Source organism: Homo sapiens, chromosome 11 (genome assembly GCF_000001405.40).
Source record: "Homo sapiens chromosome 11, GRCh38.p14 Primary Assembly".
Lineage (NCBI taxonomy): Eukaryota > Metazoa > Chordata > Mammalia > Primates > Hominidae > Homo > Homo sapiens.
Genome location: NC_000011.10, coordinates 7,250,318 through 7,264,694, shown reverse-complemented (window position 1 = coordinate 7,264,694; position 14,377 = coordinate 7,250,318). Strand labels below are relative to the sequence as shown.

Genomic DNA, 14,377 nt, shown 5'->3' with positions numbered 1-14,377 from the left:
TGGACGTGGTCATGTCAACAGTTGCAGCTCCTCCAGAATCTTGATTTCAAACATCTCATTCTCTGGCCCCCTTCTCCTCACTGCATTCTCAACAAGCATTCCACCCCTCCAGGACCTACAATCCATTAATCCTACCACGTCTTCACTATCCCTAATCCTTTTACATATCCGCTTTTCTCTCCTTACTCCAATGAAATTTCAGAATCAATCATTCCAATCTATTCTACATACCCTCAACTCTTTTGCTACTCTTTCCTTGTTCTCATACACACAACCCCGGCTTAAACACAAACTTCCCTCTCTTCCATGCCTGCAAAAAAAAGAGCTGAACATGGAAGAAACACACACACCTATGCTGATGGAAATTACTTTAAATTCATGATCGCCAACTTCAAGCAGGTGCTTAGTATTGCCTGGCAATTACACTTCCTTCCCTAATCCATTTGCTCTTCCACTCTCCTAAACATTTATAACTCTCTTATTTTCAAATTGCCATTACTTCCTAACCATCCTCACTCTCAGCTTATAACCTTGCTGCTTCCTATTTCACCAAGAATACAAGAGCAATCAGAAGGCAAACTTCTGCAAGATTCCCAAACCACATCTGCCCACCTGTGCCCATATATTCTGCCCTGACTTCATGACAATAAACAAACTGTTGTTGAAAAACCCACCTACTCAACCTACTCAGCACATCACTCCAGCAGTTTAATCCTCTACATCATTTTTCCCTCTCTCCAGCATACAAACATACAGTTATTTTGTCTTTCCTTTAAAAGCCATCCTTTGAATCAGTTTCTCCTCTCCTCTCCCTTCACAAAATAATTCCAAAAAATGGCTTATACTCTTTTCTCTCAATTTCTCTCCTCTCATTCTCTTTTAGAAAGACTCTAGTTAGACTTTCACCAGTTCCACTGAGGCACCACTCCCAAAATCATTCAGTTCAAGGTCACCAATTAGCCTTCATGTTATTAAATGCAATGGTCAGTTCTTGGTTGTCATCTTACTTGACCTATCAGGGGCATTTAACTCAGGGGATCCTTCCTTCCACCTAGGAATACTTTCTTAATTTCCAAGCCATCATGTTCTTGATTTTTCTCCACGTTACTTTCTGGTCCCTCTCAGTCTCCTTATTGGTTCCTGCACATTTCTCTGACTTCTAACCAGTTGTTTGACTTCTTTTCTATTTTTATTCACCCCTTGGTAAGTGTGAAGATCTGAATGTTTGTGTCCTCCCCAAATTTGTATGTTGAAACCTAATCCCTAGTATGATAATGCTAAGAGTTGGGGCCTTTGGGGAAGTGACTAGACTATGAGAGCAGAGCCCCCATGAATGGGATTAATGCCCTTATGAAAGAAACCCCTTCCACCATGTGAGGACACAGAGAGAAGGTGCTGTCTATGAGGAACACGCCCTCACCTGACACAGCATCTGCCAGCTCCTTGCTCTTGGACTTTCTAGCCTCCAGAACTGTGAGAAATAAATGTCTGTTGTTCATAAGCTACCCAGCTTATGGTAGTTTTGCTAGGGCAGTGCAAATGGACTAAGACAGTAAGCTCATCTAGATTTTTTGGTTTTAAATATCATCTATGTGCCTTTGGTGCCTAAATGCCTACACTGAACTTTCGGGAAATGTACCCAACTTCTCAACCAAGGATATCATTCTAGCAATCCTCCCCTCTTTATCCTATATCATGATTTTTTGTTCTGTACTAGTCATTCCCTTCACCTTGGTGCTGTTAAGTCTCCTAACTTACGAATAAATAAATAAATACAACCCTTGATCTCACTTCCCTCACTAGCAACTACTATGCCATTTATTTGCTCTTGTCAGCAGAAAAACTTAAAAGACTATTCTGTCTTTACTGCCCCAATTCCTCTCCCTTCAATCTCTTTTACAGCCATGCCAATCAGGCTCTTGTTCCCACCTCTCTATCAAAAATGCTTGTCAACATTACTTCCAATGACCCCTGCATCACTACCTGCAATGGTGAGTGCCCAGTCTTCATTCTGCTTGACCTAACAGTAGCACTTGACACAGCTGCTTATTCCTTCTTATTTGATCACCTTCTTCTTCATCCTGGGTTCCAGGTCAACACTCTTGCTTGGATTTTCTCTTTCATTTCTAGTCTCTCTTCATTAATCTTCCTTTGTAGTTCCTCAAGTTCTCTCTAGCCTCTTACCGTTGGACAGTTCCAGAACTTAGTGCGGGTCCCCTTCACTCTCCCATTCACTGTGCCTTCCTAGATAATTTCAGCCAGACCCATATCACATACATGCTGATGACTCCCATGTTTATACCTTCAGCCTAGCCATCTTTCCCAAACTCCAGGCTCATATATCCAGACGGCTAGTCTGTATCCCCACTGGGCTCACTAATAAGCATTTCCAATATCCCACATCAAGAACTGAGCTGCTGGTCATTCCCCTCAAAATTACTTCTCCTACAACTCTATTCTCCTAGCTGCTCAGGCCACAGTCTTAGTCTTGACTCCTCTCTGTCTTTCACACTCAATATCCATCTATTAGTAAATGTTGTCATCTCCACCTTCCAGCTACCCAGAATCTGACCACCTCCTACTATCTCCACTGCTATCACTCTGGTCCAAGCCACCACCATCTTTCACCTACATGATTACAACAGCTTTATAACTCCTCTCCCTAACTTCAACCTTCCCCTCCTATAGTCTGTTTTCTATGTGCTGGTCAGAGTGATCCTTTCTCTTCCTAAGTCAGATGTTATCTCTCTTCTGTTAAAACTTGCTAATGGCTTCCTATCTTACTGCAAGTAAAAGTCACTTTTTTAAAATGGCTTATAGAGGCCTACAATCAGTCTGCCATCACCTCTCTGACCTCATCTACTACTACTCTCTTTTTGCCAACCTCACTACAGTCATACTAACCCTTGGCTAATATCTGAACACGTCAAGCATGCTCCTGCCTTGAGACCTTTGTACCCGCCGCTCTCCTGCCTGGAACGCTCTTCCCCCTGCTACGTGTGTATCTTGCTCCCACATTTCCTTCTGACCTTTACTCATTTGTCAACTTCTCAGTGGTGCCAGTTTAGTCTTTATGTCTTGATCTCTTTCCATGCCTTGTTTTTTCCCTTAGCACTTACTACTATCTAACATACAATATAATTTATGTACCTATTATCATTTTCCCAAAATGTAAGTTTCATGAGGGCAAACTTTTAATTTTCTGTTTCATTCCCTACTGTATGTACAATACTGTGTCTAGGTATCTACATTTGTACATACCTAGGATAGAGCCTGGTACTTAGTAGATGCTCAATAAATATATGGTGAGCAAATAACTGGCATCCCCTACTATAACCTCTCCAATCAATGTTTATCCTGTCTCCAGAATACCTAATTAAGGGATAAAACTCACCTGAATTTTCAGCGTAAACTCTTTTAATGGTTCTGCAGTGCTACAGCTGATACAAACTAAGATGTCTTCAATAGGCAGGCATGTCCCAAAAATGTGATAAGCAAAGTGTACATGTATGTGGTGGGGACGAGGAGGCAGATATTAGAAATGGACAGCCTGTGACCCACTTAAGGGCATTCAATTCAATTATTTTTTAAAATTATGCCTGTTAATTGGCAGACCCTGTACACACAATAAAGAACTATCTCTACAGCGTGGCTTGGTGGGCACTAGGCAGGCCTGCCATGCGTATTCCCTCTTGGGCCCTATAACTTCAGAGAAAACAGACTGTGCACATCCACAGACTGGATAGTTACAATGCAGCTGAACACACTGCTTTTTCATTACTAAATAACCAGGCAAGGAAGCAAGATGTCACTGTTGGCATAGTCAGGAATTATATCTGGAATCCAGATGTTTGAACCAGATGACTAAACTTGCTAAAGGCAGTATTTACAACTATTCAAGGTAATTACAGTTGGGTTTCAGGGTGATATGTTGGGGATCTAAAATGGGTAAACTTCCATTCATTGATTCCAATCTGTTAGGACCTTACCTTGGACAGAAAGAACATATTTGCCAGTAACCTGAGTATATTTTCCATAAGGAACCAGGAAGACTTCAGAAGCTGCATTCATGGAACTGAAATCTCCTGGTGTGCTTTGCTTTGGGCTTATGATATAAATTGTACTTCTTTCAAGATTTCTGTGTCAGAGTGCTCCAGTTAGTCCTCAGTGGGTTTTTGGCAATGGCATACAGGGGCTTTCGTGATCTGATTTGACCATTGTTTACTAGAGCAGATCCATCTCTCAACATTGCCAACACACACTCAACTTACTGTTACCCAGGATCCATCCTCTTCTGTGTTAGGACCTTTGTAAATTCCTAGAATGCTCTTCCCACCAACTAGTTCCAGACAAACTCTTCTGCCCAAGAATAGACTTCTGTAGGAAGCCTCTGCAGATCCACTCAAGTCAGCTAATTACTTCTCTCCTCTTTTTTCTGTACTGTATCCAGTAGATATCTCCCTTCTTGATTTTATTAATTGCCATTATTGTTTTATGTCAATTCCATAGAGGCAGTAAGCATGTCTAATGTATCTTTGAATGACAGATGCCCAACCTTGTACATAGCACTTAAGGGGCCCTCAATAAATGTTTTTGGAATTTAACTTAATTATAACTAGAAAAGATTGATCAATTCAACGTGGTTAAGTAACAGCTGCACAAGGGTAGGGTGGGGTAGGTTGGAGTGGGAAAGAAAACATAAAGAAAAAGAGATTCAAATTATAACAACTTTTTCATATTTCATATAAATAAATGCAGCATTTTGCATTGGAAAAGAGTGTTACAACGAATCCCTATTTATTGAACCACCCCTGAAATTTCAAAAGACACTTTAATATAATGGGTTGATTATAGTCAGACAACCTGAGCTCATTCACTATACAATATTCCTTCTGTGAGCTAATTTGACAGAATATTTACATTCTAATTAATGGAAATTGGTAGAAAAAAACATTAAGATTCTCAAAAAATAAACTGGTACATGATAGAGAATGTGGTAGAGAACACAAAAAATTCACTTAAGAGTAAATATAAGAAGGTTCAAAACAAAAAATATTCAGTCTTACCAACAAAAAAAACACAAATTGAAACAACTAAGCAGCTGTTTAAACCATGTTAAATTAGCAACCTTTTGTTCACATTATACACCTAATGCTAGCGGATTTACTGTTGACATGTAGCAGGACTAACTAACATAGATCTACCAGAAAGCAATTAGGGCTCACTGTTTATAATTTATCATGAAAAAATTTTCCCAAAAGGAAACAGGGGACTATAAATACAAGACATTATTCACACTAAAAAAAAATTACAAGCTAGAATAGCCTCAAAAGAATGGTTAAATAAAAAAGGTATACCCATTCTTGGAATATACATAGTCATCACAACAATAATAATTACGTACTAATAAGTGTTAACAATGGGAAAATTATAATAATAGAAATAATGGCTAGTATTTATTGAGCATTTACTACGTGTAATTACTATGAGCATATACCAGGTACTATGGTATTTCGCATGCATTGCGAGATAGGTACTAGTATAGGGTTGTCAGCATCACAAATAAAAATATAGGATGCCCAGTTCTACTTCAATTTCAGATAAACAACAGATGATTGTTTTGTATAATTATGTGCCATGCAATATTCCCTGTCGTTTATCTGAAATTCAAATTGAACTGGCAGCCTGTATTTTATCTGGGTAACTAGTAACCCAGATACTAGTAATACATTTTACTGATGAGAAAATGAGGACACAGAGGTTAAATAACTTGTCCAGGAACACACAGCTAATAAGAGGTAATAAAATGCTAAGTTTACAAAAAAGTAGAAAGTAAATTTAGCCTACAAATAATTACAAATGGTAAAACATATACATGTTTGTGGACCACGGCTGAAAGGAAACATGGGCAGGTGATACTACCAACAACATCAATTTATTGATCATTTATTTGAGCATTTACTCTGGGCACAATGTTACAGCAATCTTCCACTCCCATTTTATAGATGAATAAAATGAAGAGTTAAATATTTTACTCAAGGTCACTAAGGTAGTAAGTGCAGTCAGATTCTAACTCCAAAGTCCTTGCTTATTCCACTTTGTCATCTTGATGTCCTAGAAGATTTTTTTTTCTTTCAAGTGCAGTTCTATCAATGTTGATTTAAAGTTTTTGTGTGATAAAATACATGTGCAAGGCCATATGAAGATTTCAAAGAGATCTGCAAAGCCTGGTCCTCAGGATTTGATGTGGTCTAAAGCCCTTCCTAGAGCCCACCAAATAAACATTTGAAAGAAAAGGAAGTCGTGATGCACATTTATTGCTCCAAGATTGCAGTGAAAACTGAAAACTTCTCCACAAATGGTGATTTTATTCAAACTTCATTCAGAAAATAGAAATACATACTCCATACTTGTCCTTTTAAAAGTGAGATTGCTCCCCCATTTATGCCTCTCACTAAGCTCCTCCACTTTCTCTATACACTTTGGAGTGTGAACTTGTTAGTTCCCTCAAGTCAACCTGTTAGGAAGAGATTATGAATGTTTTTAAGCCAACCATATGGGAAATTGCACTTGCAGCACAAACATAAAAGTGCCTCAATGCTACTTCAGTGAAAGCAACATCTATGCTCTATACATAATAGAAAATTTGAGGATGATTTCCTTTAGGTGTCAGTTTAATTTTTCCTTGAGAGTTTATCCCACATCAAAAAGTTTGTGCTTTTGATTGTTTATTTTGAAAGAGGCAGCTGGCCATAGGGCTGCCTGTGATGCCTTTACTACAATTTGCTTTTGTTTTCCCCTCTTGATAATTACCTCATGACTAAACCACTCACTGGTCCATGTAGAGGAGTCCCGCAGAGATGAAAACACACTTGTTTAAATAAAATATTTATGAAGGAGCCCTGAAATGTCACCGAAGTAAATGCAAATTAGATCTTCACATATTGTGCATCCAATATGCCACTCATTCCTTAGAAGACTCTTTTTCCTGATTGCAATTAACATTAATTTAAAAAAATTAATCCCATTGTGCATAATCACACCAAGGTCTATTCATAAACATCCAGTGTTTCAAGACTGATTCTCTTTTGACTACCTTAGAAAAATTTGAATCAAGGCTAATATTTAATCTTGATGATTATTTTGGAGATTTTTTTCATAGAAACTATATTTAATTATTATTTTACATGTACATTTTCTAATAAGTGACTTCATTATAATTTAACATAGGGTGACATTTGTGAAGGTTCTATATTCTGACCTTTTAATGACACACTATTTAGACAAGATTTTTCTTGATTTGTTTGTTTTTTCCCCTCTCAGATTGGTGGACATAATAGAGCCTTATGATATGTTCAATGAGCCCTTAAAAGAAAAATGTAGGATAACGTTGGGAAAAGAAAGTTAAGAATCAGTTGATATGGGCACTAGCTGTACAGGGTAACAGTCAAGGTTCCTAGTTTTTGATACTATCTTTCCTAATTTTGCAAGAAACAAATGTGAGCTGAGCTGAGAAGGGTTAGGCGGATGCATTCTTTGCCCAATGGTCTCAAAGGTTGTTCTCTACTTGGCTGCACATTAGAATCAATAGATGAACTTTAAAAATACTGATACCAGGCCCATTTCCCAGAGACTGTGATTTAAAACTGGTCTAGGGTGCAGCCCAGTCATTGGTAGTTTTTGTTGTTGCTGTTGTTTGTTTTTTCTTTGTTTGTTTGTTCCAGCTCCCTAAGTATTCCTAATGTGCAGCCAAAGTTGAAAACCATGACCTAGAAAAAGCTTTTCTTGAATAGAGTAATATTTACATGGAGAGAAGAATCACTAATCATGAGTCTTAAGGCTCTGCTTCATACTCTGACCTGCTGAACCTTTTCTAAACATTGGGTACAGACACAGAGAACATGCAGAAAAATCTCCAGAATATGGAGTTGGAACATGAATGGAAAACCAGTATCCTGGATAACAGAATTCATAATCAAAAATACTAAGCTGAATCTTTACAACTACATAGAATGTGACCTACACTTAGGGATTAAATCCATCATACAAGTACAGAAGAGAGAAAGTAGGTCTAAGGGTGGCTCTTATGAAAAACACCTAGAAAATTTTCATTGACAATAACTCCTCAGTTTTCAGTACATGTGATGTGACTACCTAAGAAGCTACTTTCACTTAGACCCAATTCTTCTTTTAAATGGACTCCATGGCCCTGGGCTAGTTTACTTCTCTGGACTTCAGTTTACTCATATATATCAATCACTTTTAGCCATGGTTCTTGAACTTTAATGTGCCTACAACTCTCACCTGAGGATCCTGTTAATATACAGATTCATATTCAGTGGGTCTGGGACATAACTGAGATCTCCAATTCTAACAAGCTCCCAGCAGCTGCTGCTGCTGCTGGAACACAGATAAGTGCTTAAAAGACTTGTGAGGACTAGTGAAATGACCTACATAAAGTGCTTGGCACAGACATGGTTGGCACCCTACAGAAGAAAAGACTTAAAAAGAAAATGATAAAAACATGTTTAAGACCTAGTCATTACATGATCCAATCCTCCTTTCTGTTCCTTGGAAAGAGTGGATCTAGATAAGTTAGGCTAGTTTACCTCCTAATAGCCAAAGGTGTATGATGGAGAAGAGAGATAAGACTAATGCTTTTTGACCAAAAAAAGTATAATCAAGATCCATGGGTAGAAATTTAAGAGACCTTTTAATTCCCTACAAGGAAAACCTTCTAACAATACATACTGTTCTATAACCAATTAATCTTCTTGACAGCGAAGTCTCCAGTTAAAAAATACGAGCATAGAGCAATTGACATTAAAGAGGATAGTCATACCTCAGGTCACTGTTCAACTGTAAAACAGCTTGGCTATCTAAAGAGGCATCACACACTTAATGTGTTACAAAAAGTTAAAATAAAATAAAAAATAAACCTCATGATTTCCCTCCTCACCCCTACCTTCTTCCTGAAGACTTCTACTTGTACATGGAATTTTTTAGGTCAAAAAGCCTTTGAAGCATCCTTAATTGCCCTTCTCTCACCTTTCACATCTCTTCCTTCAATAAATACTTGCGGCTGTACCTGCAAATTGCATTCATAATCCAATTACTTCTCATCACCTCCATTACCACTATCCCTGTTGAAGTCACTATCACCTCTGTCTGGATTTCTGAAATAGCTTCCTAAGTGGTTTCTCTGACTTCACCTTTGCTCTTCAACATAGCAGTCAAAGTGTTGTCACTTCTCTGCTCAGCACCTTCTAATGGCTTCCTATCTCATTCAGAGTAAAAACCAAAGTCTTTATAATGGTTTACAAGACTCTGCATGATCCACCCTCTCTAACTCTTGACCATACACGTCTTATCACTCTCCATCTGTTTCACACCTCTCCAGCCACCTCTGAAGTCACCATTTCTAGAATCATATCAATAATGCTACCACTTCAGGGCCTTTGCGCTTGCTGTTCCCTCTGCCTTAAAGGCTAGTCTCTGAGGCCTGCAAGTTTATGTCCCACATCATTAACATATAAAACACCATAAAGGCAACCAACAGAGCATTCTAATTGCTTTCTATGGACAAAAGTGCTCACACTCAGCACTTTCCTTTCCACAAGTTGGTACAGATGACAGACTGGGTGAGGCACTTCAGTTCCAACTGTGACTTAGGCTTATTTTTTTAAACCACAATTGCATCAAGTCCTCTGTGAACACCAAGTCAGGGAAATCTGGGTGCGGTACTCCCCCAACAGGGCACTATAACTACCTGGACAAAAAAGAACCTTTCTGATGGCTCAGGCCCGCTGGTCTGTGCCCTAGTCTTTCCACACCTCTGAAAAAATGAGTAAATTTCCTAGATGCAGGGTCACTTTGCTGTCCACAGGAAATTATATCTTTTTTCTCCTTTTATAACCAAAGTCCTTAGTTCAGCTTGAGAAAACCTAGCTATCACAGGGTGGCCGTGAATGGACAATAACAGAGAAAGCTGGGACATGGCATTCAGGTGGATTCCTTTCCAGAAAAAGAAGTCATCCATTTACCGAGATGACTCTCTCTAGGAACCCATGTCTCAGGGCTGCTGTGCATGGTTGTTCTGGTTCACACTATCAACAGCAGGGACATTATTCACACGGCGTTGTGTGGTGCAGCTTTTCTACTACTCAGCTTTTAGGGTTCCGAGATTAAAGACACTCTTGCTTCAGAGGGATGAAGACAAATGCATCTGATGTAAGAATTAATGTCGGCAAGGCAAGGAAGGAGGGAAATGAAGGGAGATTTGGAAATGAAGGGAGAAGTGTCCTGAAGGAGAGGGTGCACTTTGGATGTAATCTTTGGCCTCATTTCCTCTCACCTTGCACTCGAAAACCCCCACCCCTGTCCTCATGAGCTGGCTACTTTCCAACAAAAACCAAAGAGCCACAGGGGCATGGGGCTACTTCAAAACCCTTGTGTCCTAGTTTAAGAAAGCAGAGCACTGCTATCAGGAACTCAGAGCAGCAAGGTCGACTCCTATCTCTAGCTATTCCTCCGCCAAGGAATCAGATTTCCTCTTGTAAGAAGCCTACTTAGTGACTCTTTCTCAGGGGTTGCCTGGTGTAGGGGCTGAAGAGAATCTGAGAACACAGGATCCAGCTCCCGGATTAAAAGGAGTAGAAGCAGAAAACTGGCCAAAAAGATGTGATTCAGAGATAGGCCTCATCCATCTTCTCTTGTAAAGCCAAAGACAACTGCTTATGTGGGATAACAAGGAGAACTCGTGGTCTGGTCACAGGCAAGGAAGTGAGATGTTTCAATACTAATACTTGCTTTGGGCAAAGCATGCAAAATAATTGTCTTGCTTCTGCTGCTTAAGGACGAACTTCCCCGACTTAAGACATCTTCCTGGGACTCCAGCTTGTGAGATAAGGGACTGTGGTTTATTCAGCACATCACATCCAGCAATGAGATGCACATAGGCTGGACATTAAACCTCCCTGGAAACCACTGGGATCAGTATTTCTCTACCCAATTATCCACTTTGAAGTAATATATCAATGATCATTCAATAAACTTAGTTAATATAACCACCGGCAATGGAAAACAATATTTTTTTCTTTTTCAATAGGAAAAAAAAGCCTCTGGTAGGGAAAATCTGATATAAACTTTAAAATTTTAGCAGATGACTTCACCCCACACGACCATCTTGAATATATCAAGGATATGCTATTTAAGTCTGGCTCAGTGTGACACTCTTTATAAATCAAATAATTCTTTAATTTATCTTTTGGATAAATGGATTTTTATATAATAAATTGTTTTCAATTCGTACATCATAATTTGCAAGGCAATAGCTCATTTCCAATATTTATACATAGCAATATCAAGAGAAAGGCCATTTTCTCATCCCATTTTTAACAATCCAACCACAATATGCTGTTTTGGTAAGTACTTAGGTTGGGAGAATATTCGAGAAAACTATTTCTCCAGGTGAGAAACATCTCAAGCAAACATTGGAAGGAATGCATTTTCCAGTAGCCAGTAACGGATGAGACGACCTGGGAGACCCAGGGACCTCAGGAAAAGCAAATGGCTCCACTAAAACTCCCTCCTCCAACCTTAATTGGTCAAATGCCAAAATAAATGAACTTTCCAAAGTTAAGAGCTTTGCAACTTTCACTAGGAGTAACTACAGGTGCACAAGCCAGGACCGACGAGTCTACGAACCCCATCGTGGCCGGCGGTAGTCGCTGGTCGAGCCTAGCGCCCAGGCCCAGGCCACCTCCATGCCGTGCGACCCGCCGGGAACGGGTTCAGGCCCGTCTGCCCAAGGCCAGAAGCACCCTGTCCCCGGCCCAACGCCGGATCGCGTCCCGCCCTTCTCACCCCATACCAAGGAAAGGAACTAGACGCTTGGGAGAAAGGATGAGCAGCACCCGGTGGGATTCGGCCCCAACCCGGGGCCGTCCCCAACTCCCAACTTCCCAGAGTTTCCTTCGGCCTCGTCCCCCTTCCCACGGCTCCGAGGCCGCCGCGGCCTCCCCTCGCTCTGAGTGCAGATAGCCCGGGAAGTGGAGAGCGTAGCTCGGAGCTAGGGAGCCGCCCCCAGGAGCCTTGGCGATGGGAGCGCAGGTGGCGGGCGTGGTCCCTCCAACCCTGCCCTAGCCGACCCGGAGTCGGCCTCCGTGCAGTAGCCACCGCCCGGGTCCCCGCCTGGTTACAGCATCAGGCCACAGTGCGCTGGTTCTTGATCACTCTCCTGGCTCGGTGGCCGCCCCCCGCCCTCTCCCAGTCCGCGTCGCTGTTCTGCCTCAGGCCCCGGTGCGGCCCCAAGTCCCAGCCCAGGGCCCTTAGGTCCCTCCAGGCGGCGGTGGCGGCACTCACCTGGGTCGCGGAGCCGGGGTCTGGCACGGTCCCGCAGGTGGTAAATGAAATCCTGGCAGCTGTCGTGCTCCAGGGCCCCACGGGCACAGAGCTCGGCCAGCAGCTGCAGCGCCTGGTGACAGAGCGCGTCCCTGGCCCCGGGCATCGCCCCCCCGCATCCTCGGACCGCGCCGGGCAGGCGGGCGCAGGAGACAGCCCTCCGCCTGCCAGCTCAGAGCCGCCGCCTCCGGGCCGTCCGCGCTCACCGCCAGGGACCTGCCGAGAAACGGTGCGAGCCTGAGCCCGAGCCCCAGACCCAGCCGGCCCGGCCTCCCACCGGTTGCATGCAGCTCTTCGCCAGCCGGTCGGTCAGGCTTTCTCTCTCTCCCGCCCGGTCCCTCCGTCCCTCCCCAGACACCGAGGAGAGGCGGTGCCGCACAGCCCAGAGCGCCTCTCTGCTTGCGCTCCGCCCGCTACTCGCGGCCGCCGGGGGGCGGGGCCAGGTCAGGAGTGCGCGCCGCAGGGTAGGATAGCGGCGGCCCCAGACCGGGGACCTGGGGTACTCCCCGGCTCCTGGCCGAGCGCGAGACTTGGCTTGGGACCTCGCGCCCAGAGCGGCCGCGCCCTGGCTTGGGGAGTGTGAGTGAGTGCGCGCTCCGGGCGCTTTCGCTACTCCACCCCTCATCCCTGATGCAAACCAAGCACCCGCTCCCACCGCCGAGTGTGTCCAAAGCACGTTCTTGGATGCCTAGTGCGAAGGTTACAATCTGGGCACACCCGCCAGATGCGCAGAACCGAGTCCCTGCTTCGAACTTGGAAAGAGCCGCCTGGGTTTGAACCATGGGCCTATGGGTGTCAGATGCCCAAATGCAGGGTTTGGGTCCAAGATTCGCCAACAAAGGAAGGATTTCCCAAGCACAGGCCCTTTTCGACCACTGTGGTGATTTGGATGGAGAAGGTGGAGGCTCTAGGTCAGAACTAAGATCAAATAAATAAACGATTCCTGGGAAAGACCCTGAGGCTTACCTGGGCTTCGTGGGTCCCTTAGTTTTCTAAGCAACCGTTTGGAAATCCAAACATTGCCAAAGTGTCTTCAGCACCCAAGGAGGAGTATCACAGAATCTTGGAGAGTTGGAAGGAACCTCAGGGCACCTCTCATCCACCCATCTTTTCAGCCTTTCAAGCAGTAAAGCCTAGAAATAACCACGAAGTACTCTGGGTGTGTGTGTGTGTGTGTGTGTGTGTGTGTGTGTCACTGTGCCACAAGCCTTTTAGGTACATAATCTCATTTAATTCTGTACATAGCCCAACAAGGTCTGTGTAATTGTTATCCTCATTTTACCAATGAGAAACTGGGGCCTGGGGACTCACAAAGGTGTTACTTGCTCAAATTCATACATGATGAAGGTAGCTTTGATTTTCTCTCTTTCTTTTTTCTTTTTTCCTTCTTTTTCTTTTGTCTTTTTTGTAATACTGGTGTTCAGGCCCCCACTCTAGAGCAATTAGAGTAGGATCTCTAGAACTGGTAACTATCATTCTTAGCCATGAGGTTGTGCCGTCTCTACGGACATATCACAACAATTCATATTTGCACAGAAAGATAATTTGGGATCCTATAGAATGCTCACGCAACAGGCAACCTTTGAAATCCTGCTGTGAATGGTACTAGGGTTTCAGGGAACTTACATGGGAATAGCAGAGAAAATGCAAAGTTGTAAAGGTAAAGATGCCTCCAGAGAGTTGCAAAGAGACAAACAGAGGGAGGAGAAACCAGCTTTAAGGGAGCCTGTAGGGGAGGTTGAGCAGATGCTGTTTCTTCAAAGGGGGGAACCCCTAGAGAAGAAGAAAAAGGCCATGAACAGAGAAGGTGACACCAGAGATAGTGTGATGCTGGGGGGGGGTGGCGGGGGGGACATATAGTAATGGTGAGAAGGTATGTGTGTTGAAGCACATGGAAATATTACCCTAATGCCATCATGTCAGAGAGGAACTGAAAGCAACAAGTTCAGTTAAAAAATGACTTTGATAAACCAGG

The 14,377-nt window shown here is 42.7% G+C and overlaps 1 protein-coding gene across 10 annotated transcripts in view, besides 1 other annotated feature; it reads right to left on the bottom strand.

Moving 5' to 3' along the window:
* SYT9 (synaptotagmin 9) overlaps positions 1–14,377 on the bottom strand; it is a 230,266-nt gene that overhangs the window by 204,349 nt on the left and 11,540 nt on the right. For 8 of the 10 annotated variants that reach the window (XM_011519901.3, NM_175733.4, XM_011519900.3 and 5 more), the window contains exon 1: positions 12,364–12,791. The exons of the other annotated variants lie outside the window; for them this stretch is intronic. In XM_011519901.3, the coding sequence (XP_011518203.1) occupies positions 12,364–12,508 (145 nt within the window). In that variant the 5' untranslated portion in view covers positions 12,509–12,791. Of the gene's footprint in view, positions 1–12,363; positions 12,792–14,377 lie in introns of those variants that run through there. 10 annotated transcript variants of the gene reach the window in all.
* Positions 12,759–12,898: a silencer, noted in NCBI's record as "silent region_3108". NCBI's record gives its function as "represses an Ori minimal core promoter by ATAC-STARR-seq in GM12878 lymphoblastoid cells {active_cell/tissue: GM12878}" and the evidence as "EXISTENCE:reporter gene assay evidence [ECO:0000049][PMID:35858748]".